General features: G+C 34.8%; 2 long non-coding RNA genes across 9 annotated transcripts in view, besides 1 other annotated feature; one reads left to right on the top strand and one right to left on the bottom strand.

The window, feature by feature from the left end:
• Positions 1–994: 994 nt before the first annotated feature.
• LINC02050 (long intergenic non-protein coding RNA 2050) lies at positions 995–25486 on the bottom strand. 3 transcript variants are annotated; one of them, NR_147143.1, is made up of 5 exons: positions 25296–25486; positions 10138–10290; positions 6266–6342; positions 1414–1586; positions 995–1146 (listed from the first exon to the last, which is right to left on the bottom strand). It is a non-coding gene; the product is annotated as a long intergenic non-protein coding RNA 2050 (long non-coding RNA). The 3 variants fall into 3 exon arrangements; NR_147144.1 differs by lacking the exons at positions 6266–6342; positions 10138–10290; NR_147145.1 differs by lacking the exons at positions 6266–6342; positions 10138–10290; positions 25296–25486 and adding an exon at positions 19428–19679.
• Positions 19293–19845: an enhancer, noted in NCBI's record as "H3K27ac-H3K4me1 hESC enhancer chr3:80819689-80820241 (GRCh37/hg19 assembly coordinates)". NCBI's record gives its function as "activates a minimal SCP1, AML or CMV promoter by ChIP-STARR-seq in naive H9 embryonic stem cells {active_cell/tissue: H9 hESC(naive)}" and the evidence as "EXISTENCE:reporter gene assay evidence [ECO:0000049][PMID:30033119]".
• LOC105377177 (uncharacterized) overlaps positions 20035–25486 on the top strand; it is a 250124-nt gene continuing 244672 nt past the window's right edge. For all 6 annotated transcript variants that reach the window (XR_940994.3, XR_940993.3, XR_940991.4 and 3 more), the window contains exon 1: positions 20035–20624. This is a non-coding gene — a long non-coding RNA (uncharacterized LOC105377177). The remainder of the gene's footprint in view (positions 20625–25486) is intronic.

Genomic DNA, 25486 nt, shown 5'->3' with positions numbered 1-25486 from the left:
AGAATAAAAGGCAGTCTCTAGGGTCTGAGAGCAAACTTTTGTCATCAGCCAGTAGAAAAAACAAAAACAAACAAACAAAAAACAAGAACTCTACCTACAACTTCAAAGAACTGAATTCTGTCAATAATCAGTGCTTTTGGAAGAAGATCTCAAGCTCCACATGAAAATGCAGCCCAGAAAGCATCCCTTTTTCAAAACCGGTAGCCACTTAGCTGAAGACGCTGTTAACCAGAGCCAGGGTTTCTTTTTTCTTTTTTTTTTTTTTTGAGATGGACTCTCACTCTGTCACTCAGCCTGGAGTGCAGTGGCGCAATCTCGGCTCACTGCCACCTCTGCCTCTCGGATTCAAGCGATTCACCTGCCTCAGCCTCCTGAGTAGCTGGGTTTACAGGCATGCACCACCATGCCAAGCTAATTTTTGTATTTTTAGTAGAGACGGGGTTTCACCATGTTGGTCAGGCTGGTCTCGAACTCCTGACCTCATGAGCCACCCTCCTTAGCCTCCCAAAGTGCTGGGATTACAGGCGTGAGCCACCGCGCCCAGCCCAGTGCCAGGGTTTCTGACCTACAGAAACTTTGATATCATAAATAAATATTATCTTAGTCCATGAAGTTTTAACTAATTGGTGAGCAATAGAAACCAACACAATATGTGTGATGTGTGGAACAGATAGGAGTAGCCTTATTTCAATATTCTCTTCATTGAGGTTTGCTGCCCATATATTCAGTCTTTTGGGGGAATACAGTCTCAAGAATGAATGTCTGCTGGGTCTACTTATTCATGTAGCTCGCTAACAATGCCTGAAAAACTAATTATATGATTGAAAGAGAAGAAGGGCCCTACTATGGCCTGGGAAAGTCACTTACTACTCACTCCACGTTCTTTCAAGTCGTTTGTGTGCTACCCAGGTCTGGCTCCTTTGTTTATTCCTATGGTTATGAACACCTATATTAGTTTACTAGGGCTGCCATAACATAATACCAGACACTAGCCTACTTAAATAACAGATATTTATTTCTTCACAATTCTGGAGGCAAAAAGTCAAAATCAAGAGTTTGGAAGATTTGTTGTTTTTCTGAGGTCTTTTTGGCTTGCAGAAAGCTACTTCCTTTGTCCTCAAAGAGGTGTCAGTAATAGTTAGGATTCTACAGAAAAAGATAACCAACAAGAAGGAACATATTAAATATATTAATTAATATTAATATAATTAATATTATATCGTTATAATTTTAATACGGTTAATCATTAATAAATATATCATATGTAATATATTAATATATATTAATTGGCTTATATATATCAATTGGCATAAATATGGAGGCTAATATATATTTCATATAATTAATATATAATATACTACTATATTAATATATAATATATTAATTGGCTAATATATATATCAATTGGCTCACATAAAGGTGGAGGCTAAGGAGATTTATAATCTGCCATCTGCAACCTGGAGACTAAGGAGAGCCAGTGGAATTGTGCCAGTTGAAGTTCAAAAGCATGAGAACCAGAAGAACTGATGATGTGAACAGATGGTGTAAGTTTCAACTTCGGTGCGGGATAAGGCCAATGACCCAGCCTAAAAAAAACAGGAAGAGAATCTGAGTTTTCCCTTATCCCACCTTTTGTTCTATTTAGGCCTCCAGTGGATTGCATGATACCCACTTACATCCGGGAGGACAATATGTTTTAGTCAGTCCCCTGATAGAAGTGCTAGTATCATCCAGAAATACTATCACAGACAAATGGAGAAATAATGTGTAACCAAATATGTGGGAACTCAGTATCCAAGTAAAGTTGACACATAAAATTAAGCATCACAAGTTCAGACTTTGTCACCTTGGCACTCATGCATACTCCTTAAGCCTTACTTAATCTACAAATAAAGACAATAGCAAGGTCATAATTCTGCCTAACATGATAAAACTATCCTGTGTACAACTTAAAATGTACTAACTCCTTTCCCAGAAGAGAAGATACAGCCTTTGAGTAATGTTTACTGTTCTTCTTCTCCTTTACATTCCTTAGGTACTATGATGTAAAATAGCATCATTTAAATGTTATGATAATAAGCTAATACATTTTATGTTACATGATAAGGGAATAAGGGAGGAAGGAAATCAAAGATATTTCTATGTATGTATGTGTGTGTGTGTGTGTGTGTGTGTGTATGCAAAAGAAAAAGGAATACACGTAACTACTACAATCCTTTATTCTATAAGTGGTCACATTGTTATAGCTGGTATTTACAACTACCTTCTTCCAGTACACATTCTACATTCCCTTTCCTGTATCAAGTACCTCAACTGATTGTGGTTTTTTACCTGGTGAGAAGACCCAAATTTTTATTTCTAAAAGGTCTCAGCCATTAGTAGACCTACCTGAATTTAGTTGCTGAAATTTGCCATTGACCTTAGTCAGTGAGAATGGTAATACTAAGATAAGCCCTAAAAAATCCCCTATATCCAAGACCTGCTCTTCTTTACCTACACTATGGAATAGCAGAGTTCTCCACAAGAACCATGAAATCAAGATCAGGCATCTTAGACAGCACCATAACTCCCTTCTTTTTCTGTTGATTCAGAAGCATGAAGAGTAGAAAATGGCCAGGCAAGAGTCTGAATTTCCAGTTCAATGGAATGCTTCCCAGTGGAAGCATACATGCAGACTGGCCGAAAGAAGGCAGTGTAGCCGAAGTGGGGATCACAATCATTTGGGCCATTTTTTAATGTAACTTACTTATGCCTTCAGGAATTACATATATACTGCTTCCATTTAATGATGGAGTGTTGCTATACACACCTAAATTTATGGCTTGATGGGTCAAAGAGCATCCACTTCATGATGGGCATCTCAGGTTGCATGGTGACTTAGTAACAAGAAAATTTGGAGAAGATATAAATGAATAGGCCTCTCTGAACATGACTCCTCTAAAAACTGGGAGGCAATATGAAGGATGGAATGTAAGATCAGTATTCAGATAGAGAGTATTTAATTCATTGAAATGTATGTGAAAGATATTACTATGACTTATCTACATGTCTGTGATATTTGACATTGCCTAATTAACATGGAAATGTTAAGCACAAAGTTAAGCTTCTGTTGGCTATGTCACGGCTTGGCAACTAACAGTTCTATGAGTTGTGTCTCATTTTATTGTGAATGGGCAATTGAAAGCTGTGCAAGACAACAGGAAAAGGTCTTGATCTTTTAGGATTCAAGTCTTACATTCTACAAAAATCTAACTATACATGCCTTTCAGCAAAACTCATGCTTTAGATATTGTATAGAGCACATGAATTATATTTTTTTAAAAAAATTCTTGTTTTAAAATTCTGATCTGCTACTAATCAGCTAAATGATTTTAGGCAAGTGACTTTTCTGAGTTTCAATTTCATTACATATAAAATAGGATTTAAAGGTACTTATTTCTAACAGATATTATGAAAATGAGATAATGGAAAGATACATAATATGATGGCCATACATTATATGTGCTCAAATTATTTCATCCCTATATAATACTAAATATTTTTGTGGTTTTGCATATTTTCACATAATTATTGATAATTTTGCTTTTAGCTTTTAATGGTTGGCATAATAATGAAAACATTGTCACAATAGATAAGCAATGGCATTGGCATCCGTCTTTTTGCCTCATAAAATAAATGAAATGCCTATTAAAAGAAAAACAGGAGAATAAAAGACTAGGAACGACTGTAAAACTCTCAGATTAGAGGGGCCTATGGAGAAAAAACTAAAATAATACAATATGGAATTCTACATTGAATTCTTGAACAGAAATGAAATACAATGTGGGATCATTTTTTCCTTAAAAGAATGCTGAGAAAATGAGTGAAATTCAGATAATCTCTGCAGCTTAGTTAGTAGTTTTGACTCACATTAATTTCCTGGTTTTGATAAATTTACTATGATTATATAAGGTGTTAAGATAAATGGAAGAGGGGTGAACGTATATGAGAATATTCTATACTTTCAAAAACTTTTATCTGAGCCTAAAACTAGTTTAAAATATAGTATTTTAAAATGTATTAGCAAAAAAACCCCAAAAAATCCATAGCTTTAAAGGAAAGTTATTTTAGAATTTAAACTGTTTGTTAAAAGAACATGGCTCAGGATATTTCCTTGACCTCACTCTAAGATCGGTTTACTGTATCAATATTGTGCAGACATTCTATAATACATTTCTAAAATGTGTTGAAAAAGTAACTGGTGTGCTCCTTCTAATACATAACTACTTTGAATTACACAGTATATACACAGGTACACATGCATTTTATGGGCAGTTCCATGGCTACTATGAATCATTATGGTTATAATTTGAGCCAAAGTCTAAAATAAATAATCTGGAGTCTTATAAGATCTGTGAACTCTGGGAATTATTTCACCCTACAAAATGCTTTGTAGGGTGACAAGCCAGGCCTTTTTTTTTTTTTTTTTAAATGAAAACCATGTAATTTCTGTGTAACTAAATATAATTTTAAGCTTTACTAATTGCATAGACATCTAAGTAAGTGAGATATTTTAGATTTCTTTCTAAGTAGAAATATTGAGCAATTTTAAGATCTTAGTATCTGTTTTTACTTCACCTTTACGTTTGCATTTGTGTTTACTTTTTTGTGCGCGTGTGTCTTTGTGTAGTTATGCTATAAATCAGCATGAGAAAATGCTGCAACCACTTTTTGGGCTGTGTCTCCCCCCAGAGGCCCACAGAGAGGAATCTGTCTGAACATTGTTTCTGGTAATTTTTGGTTAGAGTGATGAGCACAGATAGACACAGTGTTTATAGGTTTTTATAGATTAATAATATCATTAGTCTGGTGACAGAGATGCATCCAAATTTCTTGGATTTTCTTGAAGAAAAATGATGAAATAAATGAATAAAAATTACTAGGGCTTTGTATATAACCTGTGATTTTGAGGATGATTGAAGTTTAATCTTAATTAATTTCAGAGTATATTCTTCCATGATTCCTGATTTTGCACTTTCGACAGCTTTTCTATTAACCTTAAGGTAAAGCTATCCTAAAATCTAAGACAAAACATATGGAACTTGCTCACTTAACAGTTTTTGGGGTAAAATGTTTTCGAAATAAACATTTCTAGAGTCACAGTATGCTAATATTAAATGTTGTTTTAAGTTGATTACTTTTCATACAATTTCAATTTCCTAGTGATATAGCCAGAAAAGTAAATATTTTCAACAAATCCATCTCTCTAATCACTATTATCATTTAATGGTTACTTTGTGAATGAAAATCTTTCCTTAAAAACACTTTGATGTATGAAGTGTGGGTTATAACATATCCTGCATTTAGCAACAATTGTATGAGTGTTTTAGTCCAAGAGTCTCTGTCACGTATTGAATCTTGATTCACTTCATGGCATAACATAACTTGACTTTACTTTTTATTAGTTCTCATCACTGCTCCCTCAAACCTCCTGAATACTGAGCAAAGAGGCCAGCCCATCAGATCTGCCACTTTAGAAACTTAGGCATTTCAAAAGCAGCACTGAAAAAATAGCAAATCAGGTAGTACTTTCAATTTTGCACTGAGCAATTTACTTTTTAGAGGGGACCAGATAGCTCCTACGATAGGTAATTGGATGCAGAACCTCTAACCTCCAGGTCGGCCTTTGCACCTAGCCTGGGTTAGTGGTGACAGAAAGCCATTAGCCTCTGATTGCTGTTTGCTGACCTGTGTGAAATGAGTTGATGGCTCCCATTCAGTTTCTAGTGGACAAGTGCGTGGATCACATTTGGCATCCTTGTTGGTAGGTTCCAGAAAAATAGAGATGGATTGAGTAGGCTTTCAGGTTAAACTACTGACCCACCAGATTAGGACTGACTTTCTTTGGAGGGGAATTTTGCTCTTTCCTGGCTCACACTTCATGCTTACTTGTTACTAATGAAGCACTTAATGTGCTAAGGAGTATAATCCACTCCTTTTTAAATATGCTCAAATTTTCCATAAGACTGTGAATTGAACACTTGATATTATTTTCAAGAGTTGTTTTCTTATTGCTGGATGAATGCTTTGGAATCAACATAAAATTTTATAACTATTAGTAAAATAATTTAATAATCAACAAATTTATAATAACTAATAAAATGAGAAAAATTATGTTTTATTTTTAAAATTACTATTAAGTATACAATTATTTATTTTCACCAGCCACTATAATTTGAACAGTATCTTTCCCTCAGAGAGCGGATTTACAACTCCAGTTTATTACCTTGGTTCATGTTTTGGCCTCAGCTGGAATAATTTCTCCTTTCTATGGCTTCAGCCTCCATACTCTCACGCCGGTCCCTAATTAAAGTTCAATTTTCATAATAAACTCATCCAAGAATACTCCAATCATTCAAATTTAATTCCCTGTTTGCTGTCTAAATCACACAATTGAGCAATTCATCATAGTTTCTCTAATCTTCTTTTCTTATACACCATACTCCATATTATTTCTATCTTCCCTAACAGGCTATAAGCATGTTGAAAGCAGGAATACTTTGCTTTATTTATTTGGTGTTTCCTAGATTATCTAGCTGAGTAGAAATCCCACAATGTAGCCATTGGCCTTGGAGGATAAAATGTTATGCCATTTTTCTAGAGCATTTATTTCTCACATAATCATAGAAGCCTATAAGCATTGTGACTTTTATTGATGTCACCTTTCCTTTAAATAGATACAAGCATTACCCTAAGGGATGTAAAAAGCCACAGAGAGAACATACACCAGAAGATAATACTTCTATGTTTTTGTTCACAGTAACTTAATAAACTGAGGCATTTGATAAACTGATAATCTCCCTGGATGCCGCTTGCTTCATTTATAAAATAGATATAAAGCGGCTGGGCGCAGTGGCTCACGCTTGTAATCCCAGCACTTTGGAAGGCTGAGGCAGCCGAATCACCTGAGGTCAGGAGTTCGAGACGAGCCTGGTCAACATGGTGAAACCCCGTCTCTACTAAAAGTACAAAAATTATCTGGTCCTGGTGGCGGGGCCTGTAATCCCAGCTACTCAGGAGGCTGAAACAGGAGAATCACTTGAGCTTGGGAGGCAGAGGTTGCAGTGAGCCAAGATCATGCCATTGCACTCCAGCCTGGGCAACAAGAGTGAAACTCCATCTCAAAAAACAAACAAACCGATAAAGCATAAGTATTTCTTGTTGAACTAGATGGTTATGAGAAAAAATACAAGTGAGAACAAGTTGGGGGGAACAAAACTTTGCAAATAGTCAAGAGTCATATATATTTCAAAATTTTATTATTGTCTAAGAAATAAATATTCATTTATTTGATAATGCATCTGTTACGAGTTGAATTGTGTTCCCTCAAAAATTCATATGTTGAAGTCCTAACCCCAAGTACCTCAGAATGTGTCCTTACTTGGAATCAAGTTGTTGAAGGTTTAATTAGTTAAGTTTAGATGAGGTCATACTGGAAGAGGGTGGGCCCTTAATTCAATATGACTGATGTTCTCATAAAAAGATGAAACTTGGACACAGACACAGACACAGGGAGAATGTAAAGATGAAGTCAAAGATTAGGGTAATGCTTCTACAAGACAAGGAATGCCAAATATTGCCAGAAAACCATCAAAAACTAGGCGAGAGGCATGGAACAGATTCTTCCTCACAGCCCGTAAAATAAATCAGTGCTACCAACACCTTGATTTTTGACTTCTGGCCTCTAGAACTGTGAAATAATAAATAGCTGTTGTTTAAACCTCCTAATTAGTAACACGTTGTTATGGCAGCCCTACAATCTATTCAGCATTTTACATGAAATGAGTTATTTGTAAATAAATAGAATAATCACCAAGGAAAAAGATTGCTGCTTTTGTAAAACTTTGTTTCAAAGGACACTATGAAGAAAATGAAAAGACAAACTACCAAATGAAAGAACATATTTTCAAATCGTATATATGATAAAAGATTTGTATCCAGAAACTCAACAAATAAAAGACAAATAACCCAATTAAAAAATGGCAATGGATCTAAATACGCGTTTCTTCCAGGGAGATATACAAAGAGCCAATAAGTATGGGAAAAAATATTCAGTATCATTAACCCACAGGAAAATGTGACTATAACCATAGTGAGATACTGCCTCACACCCGCTAAGATGACTGGAATTAAAAATGACAACTGTAACAAGGAGAGTATATGAAGAAATCAGAACACATGTACACCGTTGGTGGAAATGAAAAACAGTGTAGCCAGTGTGGCAGTTCCTCAAATGATTAAACATAGAGTTACTATATGTTTTTGAGGATGCACCAAATACAAATGAAAAACATATGTCCAAACAAAAATGTGTGTTCATGGATGTTTCTAGCAGTATTATTTATAATAACCAAAATGTAAAAACAACCCCAAAACTCATCAATTGATAAATGAAGAAATGTAATGGGATATATCCATAAAATGGAAACTTATCCAACCATAAAAAAGAATTTAAGTACTGATATACTCTATAACATGGATGGAACTTGAAAACATTATGCCAATCAAAATAAGTCAATTACAAAGAAACACGTATTAGCTTACTTATAAGCAATGTCCAGAATAGACAAATATATAGGGGGAGAAAGCAGAGTGGAGGTTGCTTAGGCTTTGGGGAGTGGAGTATATGGGGGTGATAGCCAAAGGGTACATACAATGTTTCTATTGTGATAATACAAAATAGACTGTAATGACCGTTGCACTTACTTTAAATATCTGACAAAGGGCTAATATCCAGAATCTATAACGAACTCAAACAAATTTACAAGAAAAAAACAAACAGCCCCATCAAAAAGTGGGCAAAGGATATGAACAGACACTTCTCAAAAGAAGACATTTATGCAGCCAAAAAACACATGAAAAAATGCTCATCATCACTGGCCATCAGAGAAATGCAAATCAAAATCACAATGAGATACCATCTCACACCAGTTAGAATGGCGATCTTTAAAAAGTCAGGAAACAACAGGTGCTGGAGAGGATGTGGAAAAATAGGAACACTTTTACACTGTTGGTGGGACTATAAACTAGTTCAACCATTGTGGAAGGCAGTGTGGCAATTCTTCAGGGATCTAGAACTAGAAATACCATTTGACCCAGCCATCCCATTATTGGGTATATACCCAAAGGATTATAAATCATGCTGCTATAAAGACACATGCACACGTATGTTTATTGTGGCACTATTCACAATAGCAAAGACTTGGACCCAACCCAAATGTCCATCAATGATAGACTGGATTAAGAAAATGTGGCACACATACACCATTGAATACTATGCAGCCATAAAAAATGATGAGTTCATGTCCTTTGTAGGGACATGGATGAAGCTGGAAACTATCATTCTCAGCAAACTATCGCAAGGACAAAAAACCAAACACGACATGTTCTCACTCATAGGTGGGAATTGAACAATGAGAACACATGGACACAGGAAGGGGAACATCACACATGGGGGCCTGTTGTGGGGTGGGGCGAGGGGGGAGGGATAGCATTAGGAGATATAGCTAATGTTAAATGACGAGTTAATGGGTGCAGCACACCAACATGGCACATGTATACATATGTTACAAACCTTCACATTGTGCACATGTACCCTAAAACTTAAAGTACAATAATAATAAAATTAAAATAAATAAAAACAAAAATTAAACCACATAGTTATAATAACAAAAATTATTTTAAAAGGAAATACTCAAATACATTAGTTTTCCCATTTACCTGATTAATGGTGTCAGTTAAACCTCACCTATTTATCTGGCTTTTTTTCTCTGAATTTCTCCCATTTTGCTCAGTTTATATTGCCAATTCAATTTAGGGTTTCAATTAGGGTTAATATAAAACTTTTGTGTAATAGACAAACGCAAGGTTGTAGTGAGCATTTATGAAGTACATGATTCCTAAATGCTATACATGTACATGTAATTTTTTTTACTTTTAAATTTCATTTTAGGTTTAGGGGTACATGTGCAGGATTGTTATATAAGTAAACTGTGTACTGTGGGGATGGTGTACACATTATTTATTCAATCAGGTAATAAGCATAGTACCTGATAGGTATATATATTTTTTGATCTTCTCCCTCCTCCCACCATTCACCTTCAAGTAGCTCCTGGTGTCTGTTGTTCTGCTGTTTGTGTCCATGTGTCCTCGTTGTTCAGCTGCCATTTATAAGTGAGAATATATGGTATTTGCTTTGCTGTTCCTGTGTTAGTTTGCTTCAAATAATGGGCTCCATCTCCATCCATGATGCTGCAAAGAACACAATCTTTTTCTTTTTATGGCTGTGTAGTATTCCATGCTATGTAGGTACCACATTTTCTTTATCCACTCTACCATTAATACACACTTAGGTTGGTCCCATGTCCTTCCTATTGTGCATAGTGCTGCAATATACACGTGCATGTCTTTATCATAGAATGAATTATATTCCTTTGGGTATATACCCAATAATGAGATTGCTGAGTCAAATGTTAATTCTCTTTTAACTTATCTGAGAAACTGCCATATTGCTTTTTATAATGGCTGAAGTAATTTACACTTCCACCAGCAGTGTAAAAGTGTTCTCTTTTCACCACAACCTCGCCAGCGTCTGTTATTTTTTGACTTTTTAATAATGGCCATTCTAACTGGTGTGAGCCAGTGAACTTGTACTAATATACTAAATCTTCACAACCATGCTTCATGGCATAAGGTGTTATAGTCAATTTTTTTGTTGGTTTTTTGTAGAGAGGGAAACTGAAGCCAAGGGCACTAACTTCTTGTTTAATGTCATTCACCAAATAAGTGGTGAAATTGGGATATGAACCAAAGTATTCTGGTTTCAGAACACTTGAGATTAATCACTATGCATAACTTCCTTTCAACTTGAACTCACAGAATCCAACAGCTTTGCTATAAACATGAGCAATGAATAACTTTCCATTTCAGAACATAAAAAGAAAAGCAATTCTCATTCATTAACAAATTAAACTTCCAAGACTTAATTAATATTAACAGATATACTCATATATATAGAATATATACGAATATATATTCAACTCTAATTAAATATATATGAATACATACTTATATACATTCATATATATTCAGATTGCATAAAATAATCTAAGAAAAGATAGTGAAAGGCCTAGATGGAAACTAAACCAACTAAACAAAAATATAGGATTCAAGATATTCATAATCTTGGATGAAAGAGTTAATACTAAATAGTGTAATTTCCTCTAAGTGAATTTTATATATTATGTTGAACTAATAAATTGCTATTTTGATATGTCTTATAAAAGGAGAAATATTAGCAATTTCAGATGGTTTTATATAGACATATAGAATATATATAGACATAGAATATATATAGCGACATATAGAATATACATGAATATATATTTATTTAATTCTGATTAAATATATATTCATATATATTCTATATATATTCAGATTGAATAAATATATATTGAACATATATACATATATATATATATGGAAAGAGAGGGAGAACCATCTGAAATTTAAAAATACTTTTAGGATTTTTAAATTGATTAAGGAAAGCATATTTTCCAGATGACCCACAAGAGAAAATATACAGAAAAAGAAACAAGAAAAATTGGTGAAAAAATTTTAAAAATTATGAAATAGGACTTAACTATATAGCAAACATTTTATAAAGCTTTAACTATGAGAACCAAGTGGTTTTGGTAGAAGAATACAGCAGTTGATAAACAGAAAAAAAAAGAAAGAATCAAAAAAGAAACTAATTTTTATATAGTAATTTAGAATATGAAGATGGCATTTCAAACTTGCGTAGAAATGAGTTAAGAGAAATTATGTTGTGAAAATTGGAAAAATAAGTTAGAATTCACAAAAATGTTTTTGTTTAAAAAGTATATATGAATTGAAAATTTGATTAAAGGGTCTGAATGTAAAAGTCAATGCTGTAAAAGAACTAAAAGACAATATTGGATAATATTATTATTAACATAGTGACTTAAGTAAGACACAAAACTGAGAGTTGCTAAAGAAACATTATTAGAACTCTTAGTTTTCAAACTGGCACAAAAATAAAACCATAAGCAGTTGATTGAGAGAAAATACATTATAGTGGTGAATAGGCTGACTTATTCACAAATACTCATTTTCCCATTTTTATGACTCTTGTCATGACTTGGGGCATGGCCAGGCGACCTGCTTTGATAAGTAGTGTTTGAAAAGATTTAATGCATATGCTTTTCAAGTAGGGGTTTTAAATGCACTTATGTGATCACACTTCTCTTGCACTTTTGTCACTAGCAGGAGAAAACTTTCCCAGGTAGCTAATGGTTTCTAGACTGAGGCATGAGGATGATTCCTAAATCCGATCTCCAGACTAGAGTCCAGCTCATTTACGACCAAGAAAAATTTATCAAACCCAGGCAACTTGCAGACCTATAATCAAGAAAAGGTAATGGCTGTTTTTGTAAGCCACAGAAATTCAGGGCTTGTTTACTTTTTTTTTTATTACAATAGAAACCTGTTACAATACATATGTACAAAATATTTAAAATAATATACACAACACATATGTACAAAGTATTTAAAATAATATATACAACAAAGCTCCTACAAACCAACAGAAAAAACTAACTGTACAAAAAACCTGGCTAAATATAAAGAAAATATTACATTTTTCTGTAATATTTGAATATGTTAATGTTACCCCATTTGTTTAATGCTTTGGCAAATTTTATAAAAATAAATGTGCAAATTGGGCAGAAATGGGTATTCTAAAACAGTGTTGTGAAATGTTAAATTACATGAACTTTTGAGAATGTAAATTAGCATATGCTATCAAAGTATCAAATATGCATATTATTTGACCCAGCAATTTACTCCCAGGAATTAAGAGCTCAGGAATATATGCATTTATATCCAAATATATACTTAAAAATATCCTTTGCAATGCTGTTTTTACTAAGGCAAAAAGAGGAAGGGAAAGGTTTATACATAGAATGAGATATGAGGTAGACCTTTGAGGAATTGCGTGGAATTATTCTGTCGTTTCCAGGTGTGGTGGCTCACGCCTGTAATCCCAGCACTTTGGGAGGCCAAGGTGGGTGAACCACCTGAGGTCAGGAGTTCGAGATCAGCCTGACCAACATGGTGAAACCCCGTCTCTACTAAAAATACAAAAATTAGCCATGCGTTGTCGCATACGACTGTAGTCCCAGCTACTCGGGAGGCTGAGACAGGAGAATTGCTTGAACCCGGGAAGCGGAGGTGGCAGTGAGCCGAAATTGTGCTACTGCACTCCAGCCTGGGCAACAGAGCGAGATTCTGTCTCAAAAAAAAAAAGATATTATTTTGTGAGAAAATAATTACATAACAATATATCTACTATGACTTATCTACTATGATTTCTGTTAAGAAGGAACTATGTGAATATAAAATGTTAGAGAAAAGTTAGGAAGTTATATTAAAAACATTTAACAGTGTTTACCTGAGAGAAGTGAAGGAAAGTAGAGGATATGGAATATTGAAATAGAAGTCATAAATTTGTACTCTATATTTTTAGGGTGATTTTTTGTCTTTCTGAAAACATAAAAGAAATATTAAAAATTTAAGTTATTAAAAATGTAAGTTAGAAAAAAGTAAAAATAGGAGGGAATATTCTCCTCCTTATTCCTAAATAGGAAGATCATTACTTCCTAGACTCATTAAAGTGATAGTTAACATATTGATTTCATGACAGCATTAGAATGAAAATATTGAAACTTATTAGAAGCCGGCAAATTGTAATTCATGTGGGATTTATTAAACATATTTAAAGCTGAACAATTCCAAATATAGAAGTCATCAATCTGAAGAGTAAGACTGTAGATCATTTGTTTAAGAATATCAGTCATGGTATTACATAGACAATCTAAGCAGCATTTGGAAATTTCATTCCTGAAAGTTCTATGGGTAGCTCTGGACTAAAGAGTCATTATAAAAATAGTCTTTTTGGTAATCCTGTCACTTGATTGACTGTAAAATTAATAGCACAATGGTGGATATATCTTCTTAAATGCCACCTGTTTTTATGGTTTTCAAGAAAGAGGTTAGAAAATAGAAATCCAGTACAATTTTCTGGTTTGTTTTGTACAACACTACTATGAAATTTCTCTACAATGTGGAAGTTACATTAAAACATTGCAGGTATTTTTTTCTCACATTAAATATTCAAATTTACTGTGGATTCCCTCACAGTTTTCAAATATTATTTTTTTGACATCATTTTTCATAATGTGCTCCTGATCATAAAATCTTGGTACTCCTATTAATGTCTCAGGAAGCTGCTAAATTGTGCCTCTAATTTATGCTTTCTGGAAAACAAAGTATCTTATATTATACTCATGGGATTTAATGTCTATATTTCAAGATTATACTGGTTTTTATGAATCATGTTTTATATAATGAATAGTTCATATATGGTTACTCTTCATTAAAGTTCATAATTTAAATTTATTTTTCAAAGATGTGAAACATCTGTGATTTAAAATACAATGATTTTTCTTGTGGCTTTATGCCTTGATTTCAAGATTCATAGATTTTATGGCTCTATTTCCTCTGAGTGTCTGTATAATAGCTCCGTCTGTATTAAGATGTATTTAAAAGAGGATATACTCACAAAAACAGGATGAGTAAATTTTTTCTTTCTTTTTTTTTTTTTTTTTTTTTTTTTGAGACTGAGTCCAGCTCTGTCGCCAGGCTGGAGTGCAGTGGCACGATCTTGGCTCACTGCAACCTCTGCCTCCCAGGTTCAAGCGATTCTCCTGCCTCAGCCTCCCAAGTGGCTGGCACTACAGGTGCGCACCACCACGACCAGCTAATTTTTATATTTTTAGTACAGACGGGTTACTGTTGGCCAGGATAGTCTTGATCTCTTGACCTCATGATCTGCCCACCTCGGCCCCCCAAAGTGCTGGGATTACAGGTGTGAGCCATCGTGCCCGGACAGAATGAGTAAATTTTTTAACCCATCCTTTTCATTTTGACAATATATCTTCTCTGAAAATTCTTTGGAAGATTACACAATTGCTTTTGTGTTTTGAAGGAAATATTTGAACTATGGAATATGTATAATTTTTTCTTATAGTTTGTGACACACTATGTGTTAATTTTTGGGCAAATATTATTTCTCAAGATCAATACTGAGTCTTTCTGAGACAGAAATGCAGAGACTTTTACCAAGCTGTGTAAGTTATCAATTATTCACACCTCATTATTCCACTGGTATTCTTCTAACATAGAACATTTAACACTAATTCTCAGAGACTATTTCTTATAAGACTCTCTGTAAAATATCAATTTAATCCCTTCTAATAAATTTTATATTTCCAGATTACAATTGAATATGTTTTTTGTTTGTTTGTTTGTTTGTTTTGAGGCTGGAGTGCAGTGGCACCATCTTGGCTCACTGCAACCTCCGCCTCCAGGGCTCAAGCAATTGTCCTGCCTCAGGCTCCCAAGTAGCTGGGATTATAGGCGTGTGCCACCACACCCGGCTAATTTTTGTATTTTTAGTAGAGACGGGGTTTCACCATGTTGGCCAGGCTGGTCTCGAACTCCTGACCTCAGGTAATCCACCCACCTCAGCCTCCAAAAGTACTGGGATTACAGACGTGAGCCATCATGCCTGGCCTGAATAATATGTGGTTTTTTTTATACTACTTTTAAAATATGACTTATAATTATGCCTGGAATATAATTCATATAAAGATAATTTTGACTTTCTTGGTCCCTGGTTTATATGAATGGAGAGATTCATTTAAATAAAGTAAGTTGATATTGCTTTCAAATCTGTAATCTTGAGGAAGTAACTTTCTCTATGTGAACCACATCATCTATAAATGAATGAAATGAGCTAGGGAACATATACAGTTGGACCAGATTTGGTTACCCTATGAATACTAATAGCAGTTAAAATATTATTCAAGAATTTCATTTCCACCTAAATAACAATATGGCTAAGTAACAAAAGAGTTACAGTGATCAATGTCTAAAATATTTTTATTTTATAACATTTTATGTTGTCTTAATTTCTATTGTAATTGTATAATGTGCTGTATTAGGCAGGGTTCTCCTGAAAAACAGAAGCAATGTAATATAATCAAATATGCAGGTATTTGATTATCACTTGAAAACCACTCTTTAGTGAACAGGCAACCTACAGAATGGGAGAAAATTTTTGCAATCTACTCATCTGACAAAGGGCTAATATCCAGAATCTACAATGAACTCAAACAAATCTACAAGAAAAAAACAAACAGCCCCATCAAAAAGTGGGCAAAAGGATATGAACAGACACTTCTCAAAAGAAGACATTTATGCAGCCAAAAGACACATGAAAAAATGCTCATCATCACTGGCCATCAGAGAAATGCAAATCAAAATCACAATGAGATACCATCTCACACCAGTTAGAATGGCAATCATTAAAAAGTCAAGAAACAACAGGTGCTGGAGAGGATGTGGAGAAATAGGAACACTTTTACACTGTTGGTGGGACTGTAAACTAGTTCAACCATTGTGGAAGTTGGTGTGGTGATTCCTCAGGGATCTTGAACTAGAAATACCATTTGACCCAGCCATCCCATTACTGGGTATATACCCAAAGGATTATAAATCATGCTGCTATAAAGACACATGCACACGTATGTTTATTGTGGCACTATTCACAATAGCAAAGACTTGGAACCAACCCAAATGCCCATCAATGATAGACTGGATTAAGAAAATGTGGCACATATACACCATGGAATACTATGCAGCCATAAAAAATGATGAGTTCATGTCCTTTGTAGGGACATGGATGAAGCTGGAAACCATCATTCTCAGCAAACTATCGCTTAAGGACAAAAAACCGAACAGGACATGTTCTCACTCATAGGTGGGAATTGAACAATGAGAACACATGGAACAGGAAGGGGAACAACACACATGGGGGCCTGTTGTGGGGTGGGCGGAGAGGGGAGGGATAGCATTAGGAGATTACCTAATGTTAAATGATGAGTTGATGGGTGCAGCACACCAACATGACACATGTATACATATGTAACTAACTTGCACGTTGTGCACATGTACCCTAAAACTTAAAGTATGATAATAATAAAAAAAAGAAAACCACTCTTCAAATATTCAAGTATTGACAAATGACAGAAATAATCTGAGCTTTGGTTAGAAATATGTATATGCTTAGGCATGTATATATTTATTTAGTAAATTAATTGAAAGTTCATAGTATATAAAACTGAGAGAGTGGCAAAAATACAGAAAGAGTCTGAAAAGTGTGAAATATCGAAAAAATGTGAAATAAATCCTAGATTCAAGGATGAAAGTTTTATGGGAAAACGTAACTCTTTGATAATGTGTTTACACATAAAACATTGATTTAAAATGAAAGAAAAATCTGGAGGCTTAATCAAATGGAAATACTCTATGCAAATAATCAGCAGCCTATAACTGAAATGTAAGAATAAAACACAAAATGAAGTTTAATACTGAGCATTATATCCCTTTGCCTAATGCACATACAAATTTTTCACGTTTAAAATAAGGCTTTTAAAAATTTATTTATGTATTTATTTTTTTGAGACAGAGTCTCGCTCTGTTGCCCAGGCTGGAGTACAGTGGCGTGATCTCGGCTCACTGCAAACTCTGCCTCCTAGGTTCAAGCAATTCCCTGCCTCAGCCTCCTGAGTAGCTGGGACTACAGGCACCCACCACCACGCCCAGCTAATTTTTGTATTTTTAGTAAAGACAGGGTTTCACCATCTTGGCCAGGCTGGTCTTGTACTCCTGACCTCATGATCCACCCACCTCAGCCTCCCAAAGTGCTGGGATTACAGGCGTGAGCCACCGCACCCGGCCTAAAATAAGGCTTTTAAAATGTATTTAATCACTTTAATAATCATTACTGGGTCATAGGGACAGATACGATGACTAATTCCTACTGAATTTTCAAAGAGTTTTTTGTAGTTATTGGTAGCAACATGTTGTTGCCCTCTCAATAATTATTCATTCTATTATTAAGGAACATATCTATACACATATGAGGGTATACTGTATTTACACATACATATATGGACATATCTATATAATTTCATAAAAACTTAGTGATGCTTATCAAGCTGAGTAAGAAACATTTGTCAAATTCTAGGTATAATCCATTTTAATATTATACTTTAGGTAACATAAATAAGAAGTTGTTTTATGTTAATTTGGCAAAGAGACAACAGAAGATAGAAAATAAAGCTTAAACAAAACAGTTTACTTTGTGACAAGGTAGTTATAGAAACACTACTATCTATGCCAATTCATATTCTATTCAATCTAAGATTGGTATAGCTAAAGGGATTATATGTATTTATAAATGGAGGTAAGGAATGTGAAGAAGCATTTATTGGGCACTGAAACATACTAAGTGCTTTACTTATTTATTTTAATTTTAACTTCAGTTCAACACAAATGACTGAAATTGTATTCATTTTAGAGTTCAGGAAAACTGGTCTCAGATCCATTAACTACACTACCAAAGGCCACGTAACTACTTAAAAATTGTAGAAGGTAGTGAGTGAACACAGATCTCTCTCTCTAATTCGTAATGTGATTCTCAGTGTGGTATGGTTCTGAAGCTGATATTGAATTTAGATAGGTTTTTAAATAAATCTCAGACAATTACTCAAAACTAGGAAAAATATTTAGAGAATCTCTGGAGACAGCCAGCCTTAACTTTAGACACATTGGAGCAAATTGCTTGAAATTGAAAACAAAAATTGAATGAGGGAGAGTATAAACATCAGTTGCTTTCTAGCCTCATCAAAGGTGATCCCTCATTTGTGATCTCTATATTAATAATACCTGAAATCGGCAGCAACACTGTTTTCAAATGTTCACTTCTGGACACAGGATTGGATCTCACTTCTCAACTATCTTGAAGTCAGGGGCAGCAGAGTGACTTCCTGGAGCCAGTGAAATGTGACTTAATATGGCACGTATCATTTTTAAGTGAAACGTAAGAACTAGTGAGCATTTCCTCATGCTGGGCACCCACACCCCTCCCCACCGGAAGTCTGATGGGTGGAGCTGTATGCTATGAGATACACCAGATGTCCTGTGGCTACAAGAAACTTTCCAGGCTGCAGCCACTGTGGACTCCAGAGCACGGCGGTTCATACTGGGTAATAGCTTCTTGCGATATGCCATTACTTTCTGCAGGAACAAATATCAATGCACTAAAATCCTCCAGCCTGCTAAAAATGGACTGTGTCCAATGACAAACAGAAGAGAATACTTTGCACTGCTTTAATAGAGACTGTAATATTGTTATTTTATAGAGTTTTAAACAAAACAAATTTTTGTTTTCTAATACTCACAGTACTGACTCGGGATGAGAGAAGGAAAGCGCTGGGTAGAGAAGGGCAGGTCCCTGGCTAGGGCTTCACCTCAGGTCCTGTGCACACGCATATAGGGGAGGACAAGCGCTCCTGTTTTCATGCCCAAGTTTGCATTTTCCAAGACCACCTGGCCTGCCACGTCCCCTATCCTGTGCCTGTAAAAACCCCAAGACAGGCAGGCAGGCACAGAAGTGGCTGGACGTCGAGAGGAACACATTGGCGGAAGAACACACAAGCAGTTGCACACATTGGCGGAAGAACACACAAGCAGCTGTGCCACACAAGCAGCTGTGCAGACGCACGTTAAGAGGAGCGCACGTTGAGAGGAGCGCACGTACGTTGAGAGGAGCGCACGTACGTTGAGAGGAGCGCACGTACGTTGAGAGGAGCGCACGTACGTTGAGAGGAGCGCACGTACGTTGAGAGGAGCGCACGTACGTTGAGAGGAGCGCACGTACGTTGAGAGGAGCGCACGTACGTTGAGAGGAGCGCACGTACGTTGAGAGGAGCGCACGTACGTTGAGAGGAGCGCACGTACGTTGAGAGGAGCGCACGTACGTTGAGAGGAGCGCACCGGAGAAAGAACACACGAGCTGCGGGACAGTGAGAGGAACACACTGGTAGAAGAGCACACAGGCAGCTGGATGTCGAGAGGAGCGGAAGAGCACAGCGACAGGCACTGGTGTCGACCAGCGGAACGACGTGGAGTTTGGCCTGGGAGGTCAGAGAAGAATTTGGCTGCTGGGCAGCCCCACTATAGGGGAAAACCACCTTCCCACTCCATTCCCCTTCTGATCTCCCCATCCACCTCGCTGAGAGCTACCACAACTCAATAAAAAACCTAGCACTCGATCTCCAAGCCCACATGTGATCCAATTTTTCCCGTGCACTAAAGCAAGAACCTGGGATACAGAAAGCCGTCTGTCCTTGTGATAAGGCAGAGGGTCTAATTGAGCTGATTAACACAAGCCACCTGCGGACAGCTAAGCTGAAAAAGCATCCTGTAACACACGCCCACTGGGGCCTCAGGAGGTGTAAACATTCACCCCGAGAGGCTGCATGGGTCCGCGCCCATGGTCCCCATGACTTGCCTGTTTGCCTGCTCTGGCTAAGGGTCTTGACCAGTGGGGCACTGAAGAAGCGAGCCACACCTCCATCGTACGCCCTGCGAGGAGGGTAAGAGAACTTTTTCTGTTTTACCACCAAGACCAGTAGCTTTACTTCGTTGAATTCAAATATGAACCAAATTGTGTTTCGTTTGGGGAATAGCTAAGGATTGGGTATTGTCACTTCCTTCTTCTAGAATGGATTTGTTGTTGTTGTTGAGACACTTATACCTCCCTGTATATAAATTGTTTTTAATCTTGTCTTACCAGTTCATCAGACATTATCATATAACTTTGAATCCCAATAATTAACATGGCCTATATATTTCTCAGGAGCTACCTAATTTCCCATGTAAATAAGTTGTTGCTAGGTCTGTTCTACCAGATATTCAGAAATTTACAGAAAAGTGAAAACATTTGCATTAGATTCACACCACATACATGTTTCTATTATGGCTGACACTCATTTTTTTCCAGACCTGTATTATCTTCAGTGGGTACTGTTTCACCAGCTCCGTATCTAGTTTTCTTGTTGCTAACCTCTCTATTCTGTTATTTGCTGTTTATCATCCACAGGATAAAAACCAACTATCACAATATTTAAATTATTTTTCAGCCTTTCTTCCCACAGCACCCCAAAACCAATTATCTGTTTCTTAAAAATTATAAGTCCTATGACATGGCTGGCAAAACAGATTCTTTCTCCTATTCTCAGTGTGAACCTCAATGTTTTATGTGCTGTTCTCCTACATATCCTCCAATCTCTAATTTCAAATATAACTTTCTCTTTAAAAATCCTTAGTGCTCCCAGGCAGCATTAATCACTTCTTATTCTGTGCTTCATTACATTCACCATACATAATATGATTATTATTATTTGTTTGAATGGCTGTGTCAGTGAATAAAATCTGAGCTAATTATTGACATGAACCCTGTCTTTTTTATTATTGTAGTCCGGATCTTATTGTGAGTGCATCATAAGTACATACTATATTTCTGTTTAATAAATGCTAAGGATTTTCTAATTAGGATACCTGCTATAAAATATTTTATTTCTGTTTCTTATCTCCAGGACCTGCCTTAAGTAAAGATAACTAGTATTAAAAGATTGTATACAGCCTCATGCCTCTTATCGAACCAAATTTTTTCTTCATAAATGATCTTTCCTTTCCACCTCCACCCCTTCCTTCATAAGGCACTTAAGAATTTTCTATACAGTATTCTTTCCTTAACATAGGCTACTGCTGTTTAGAAGGGATGAGATAAACTTAGGTGGAGATGGGTAAAAGTAAATGATAAAGTGCATTGTTTCTTCCATTAATATTTACTTAAATATATAATTTTCAGGTAATAGAAGAAAACTATGCTGACAGAATATAGGACATGACTGAGCTGTTTGATGGTTGCTTTTGTTAAGAAAAAGTGAGCCTTACTCAAAGCTCCTGAAATTACATCCTGTAGAGTAATCTATCATTAGTTTGCTCCTATTCCAAAATGTTTAAACCATTTCTGTATTGCCTTTACTAATTGTTTGAGTATTACCATAGATTTTTTTCTTTGATCTTATTTGGCTGAATATGAGAAATGACCCCAAAAGCAAAATATAGGAAAAGGATGCCAAGAACAATTATTATTTGTAGAGAGTACTTTTTGGGGGACTATTCCTATATACCTCCAACAATGGAGATCACCCAGAGTTGACTGCATGACTAAATATTCTCTTGGGTTGAGTTTAGTGATATGCAATGAGGTCTAGAGCTTGAAATAAATTATATTTGAAACAACAGGCAGAAAAATTAGGTGTGTTAGAGAATATATACAGTTAGAGAGAGTTTGATATAGAGAAAGCAAGTGATATTTTAATGAGTTAAGTTTATGAATTTATCTTTCTGCCCAAAGACAGTACATATGATTTTAATTTGTATTTTTTTGTCCCAATGTCACGTCTGCAACTACACGCAGCTAAAAAACACTGCCTTTCCAGCTAGGTTTCATTGTTACAGGCAATGAAATGAAAGGCTTTCCAGAACAGCCTGTTAGTGCCCTCTGTTGATGTTTTTAAATTTTCAGATCACTTCAGGAAAAGAAACCAGCATGATTTTTTTAATGCTTCTGAAATAATTTTCTTCAGAGGTAATGGGAATGAAGTTTTACTATTTTCATGACGAACTTTTTCACCCCTTAAAATGTGGATATGTGCAAAGGTGTTACTATCACACCGACTTTCCCTTCATCAGCTGTAGTTTTCCTTGGCTGGATGGACTTTATAAAAATAAAAAAGACACATGAAGTTAACAAAACTGCAAACTCAATATGAAATTTCACAGATTAGTGCACAAACCATAGGCTGTTGAATAAATATCTGGGTAAATTCTAGTCAGTGTTTGCAGCCTGCAGAATAATCAAATGCTACCTACATTTTTCAAAGTGATTCTTTGAAATTATTTTATCATATGTGGAAAGAAGTTATGCCTGTACACTTTATTCTGATACCACATTGATCATTACTCATTTTGGCTTTTTATTTTCTCCTGGTTGCATGCTTTGAAAAATCTGGGTCTGAAATATTTATTTAGTATTTCACTGATTGTTTTAAATAGGTGTGCCTATTTAGTCTACAATTAGATACGTAAATAAAGTTGAATCAGTTTTCTAAGGATACACCTTGCAGATAAAAGGCCTGTTGATTTTCATATAATGAACTAATACAGTCTGTGCAAAATTACTTATTTGATACGCATTTTACTCTTTACCTCCCCCAATCTTTTTTTTTCTTTTTAAATTTCTCTACTGTTTTATCCCAGTTGGCAGCTCTTAAACATTTTAATGAAAATTTGGAGATAATGCAATTTAGCTGTATTAAGAACTTTGCCTTTATTTAGGTGATAAACATTCTTTCTCATAATGCGGTTAGACAAATTGAGATGGTGAGCAGGAGTAAGGACAGAATAGGTACATTTCTAATGTCTAATGAGTTATCTCTTTTTAGTCCTTCTTTATTATATTGGAAGTGCCTATTCAGAGCACTAGAAATATTCATTTTAAATATGCCAAAACAAAAACCACAACTAAGAGCCAAATACAAATTATCTGAGGTTTTTCTTTTTGTTTATGTATGAGATTACAAAGCTAGCACTTTCACTATATTTACTGGTGTAAGAATCTAAAATTTTAACTCTGATTTTACAGATTATTTTATAAATAGCTATGCATCTAGTCATTTATTTGGTCAAAATATCTGTAGGTTCTACTCTGTATTTTACTCAGATTCCTTAATTATTTTTACTCTCAAAATAGTTATTTTTTAACAGTACTAGCTGCTAATTTGACTGCAAATTCTATGTATATAACTCTAGGTATGTTTTTACCAAACTAATTTGTCCAGTACCCCAACCTTTATATTTTATTTATAATTTATTAATTTATAATAAAGTAATATAATTTATTATAAATTACTAATTTATAATTAAATTAATAATTAATAATTTTATTTATTTATACATCTGTCTCTGGGAGAAATAATTCTGATGTAGAAAAAGAAGTATGGAGATATATATATGTATATGAAATATATATTTGCTTTTATTGCTCTTAATGAATTTTAAATGCTTTTAAAATTATGTCCAAAACTCAGTAGCATCTGATGTAGTAATTTTTAGCCAAGTACTATTGGAAACTGTAAATGGAAAGCAAAATTTTGTCTCCTTGAAGGCTCTAGTGTTTTTATGAAGTTCACTACGCATGAACTTCATAATTCCAAATAAAAAAATCTTTAAATGAGTAAGAGCACTTGGAACATAGTACAATTTTAGATGGAATGGTGAGGTATTTAGAAGCTTTATCATAGTGATTCAGTAAAACTACTACTACTACTGCTACTACTGCAACATACAAACACACACACATGCATACTCACAAAGAGAGATCTTAATCTAATCCACCTAAGTCTTTTCAACTTCAGCCTCTCACTTTCACAATGGTGAAAGAAAAAGGAGAGATGAGAAAATTAGATGAAAATTAAATCTTTCTTATGTTGCATGTTAGGTAATCATTCAAAAATATCCTAAATTATAACTGTATAAATTAAAATATACTGTAGATACAGGAAAAGATAGTAAGATAAGTGCAACAGTGTATTAATGCCAGAAACTATATATATTCTTATATAGTTGAGACCACAAATAGAGTTGAAATTTCAAATGAATCAGGAAAGAATAATAAAATGTATTTGAGTGAGAAACAAAACAGTATTGAATATGATGTTTTTGAATGCAGATGAAATCAGCTCCTGATTTTAACCAATGAATCAAATTAAGTTTTCAAAGCATTAGCACTTTATTATAACATATGAAACAGTAAAATTGCTTAAAGATTTATGGATAATTACTTACATAATTCTGAAATAAAGGCTTTTGTAAGTATGATTCCATATGTAAGCCCCATGAAAAATAATGTGGCATATTTGATTATATGAATTTCAAAACTTTTGTACAGCAGAAAAGAGAGAGAAACATACGGTTAAAATAGTTTTAAATATATATGATAGGCGAATTACTGATATATTTCTTAAAAAAAGATTTAATGAATAAAATATATAAAATTAACACTCTAAAACTGAGCAAAATTGCACAATAAATAACAGGGTGAAATATATGATCTTACTAGTATTTGAAAATTAAAATAAAAGCAATGCTTAATTGTTTTGCCATTGAAAAACAAAAAAACTAATGTTTTCTCTTACCAGTTGTATGGAGAAATGAACGTTCTCATATATTTTTGTTTGGAATTGAAATCTGTACGTAGAAAATCAGTGATGATGATAGCTACAGGAGACACAGATTACTAGGCAGATAGAGGTAGGTCCCCAGTGAAACTCAACCTTCAAGTCAACGGCAGTTTAAAACCTGAAAACTGAGCGGCCAGTTCTGGGTG

Source organism: Homo sapiens, chromosome 3 (assembly GCF_000001405.40).
Source record: "Homo sapiens chromosome 3, GRCh38.p14 Primary Assembly".
NCBI lineage: Eukaryota > Metazoa > Chordata > Mammalia > Primates > Hominidae > Homo > Homo sapiens.
Note: the sequence above shows the minus strand (reverse complement) of the source record. Positions and strands in the feature narration are given on the sequence as shown.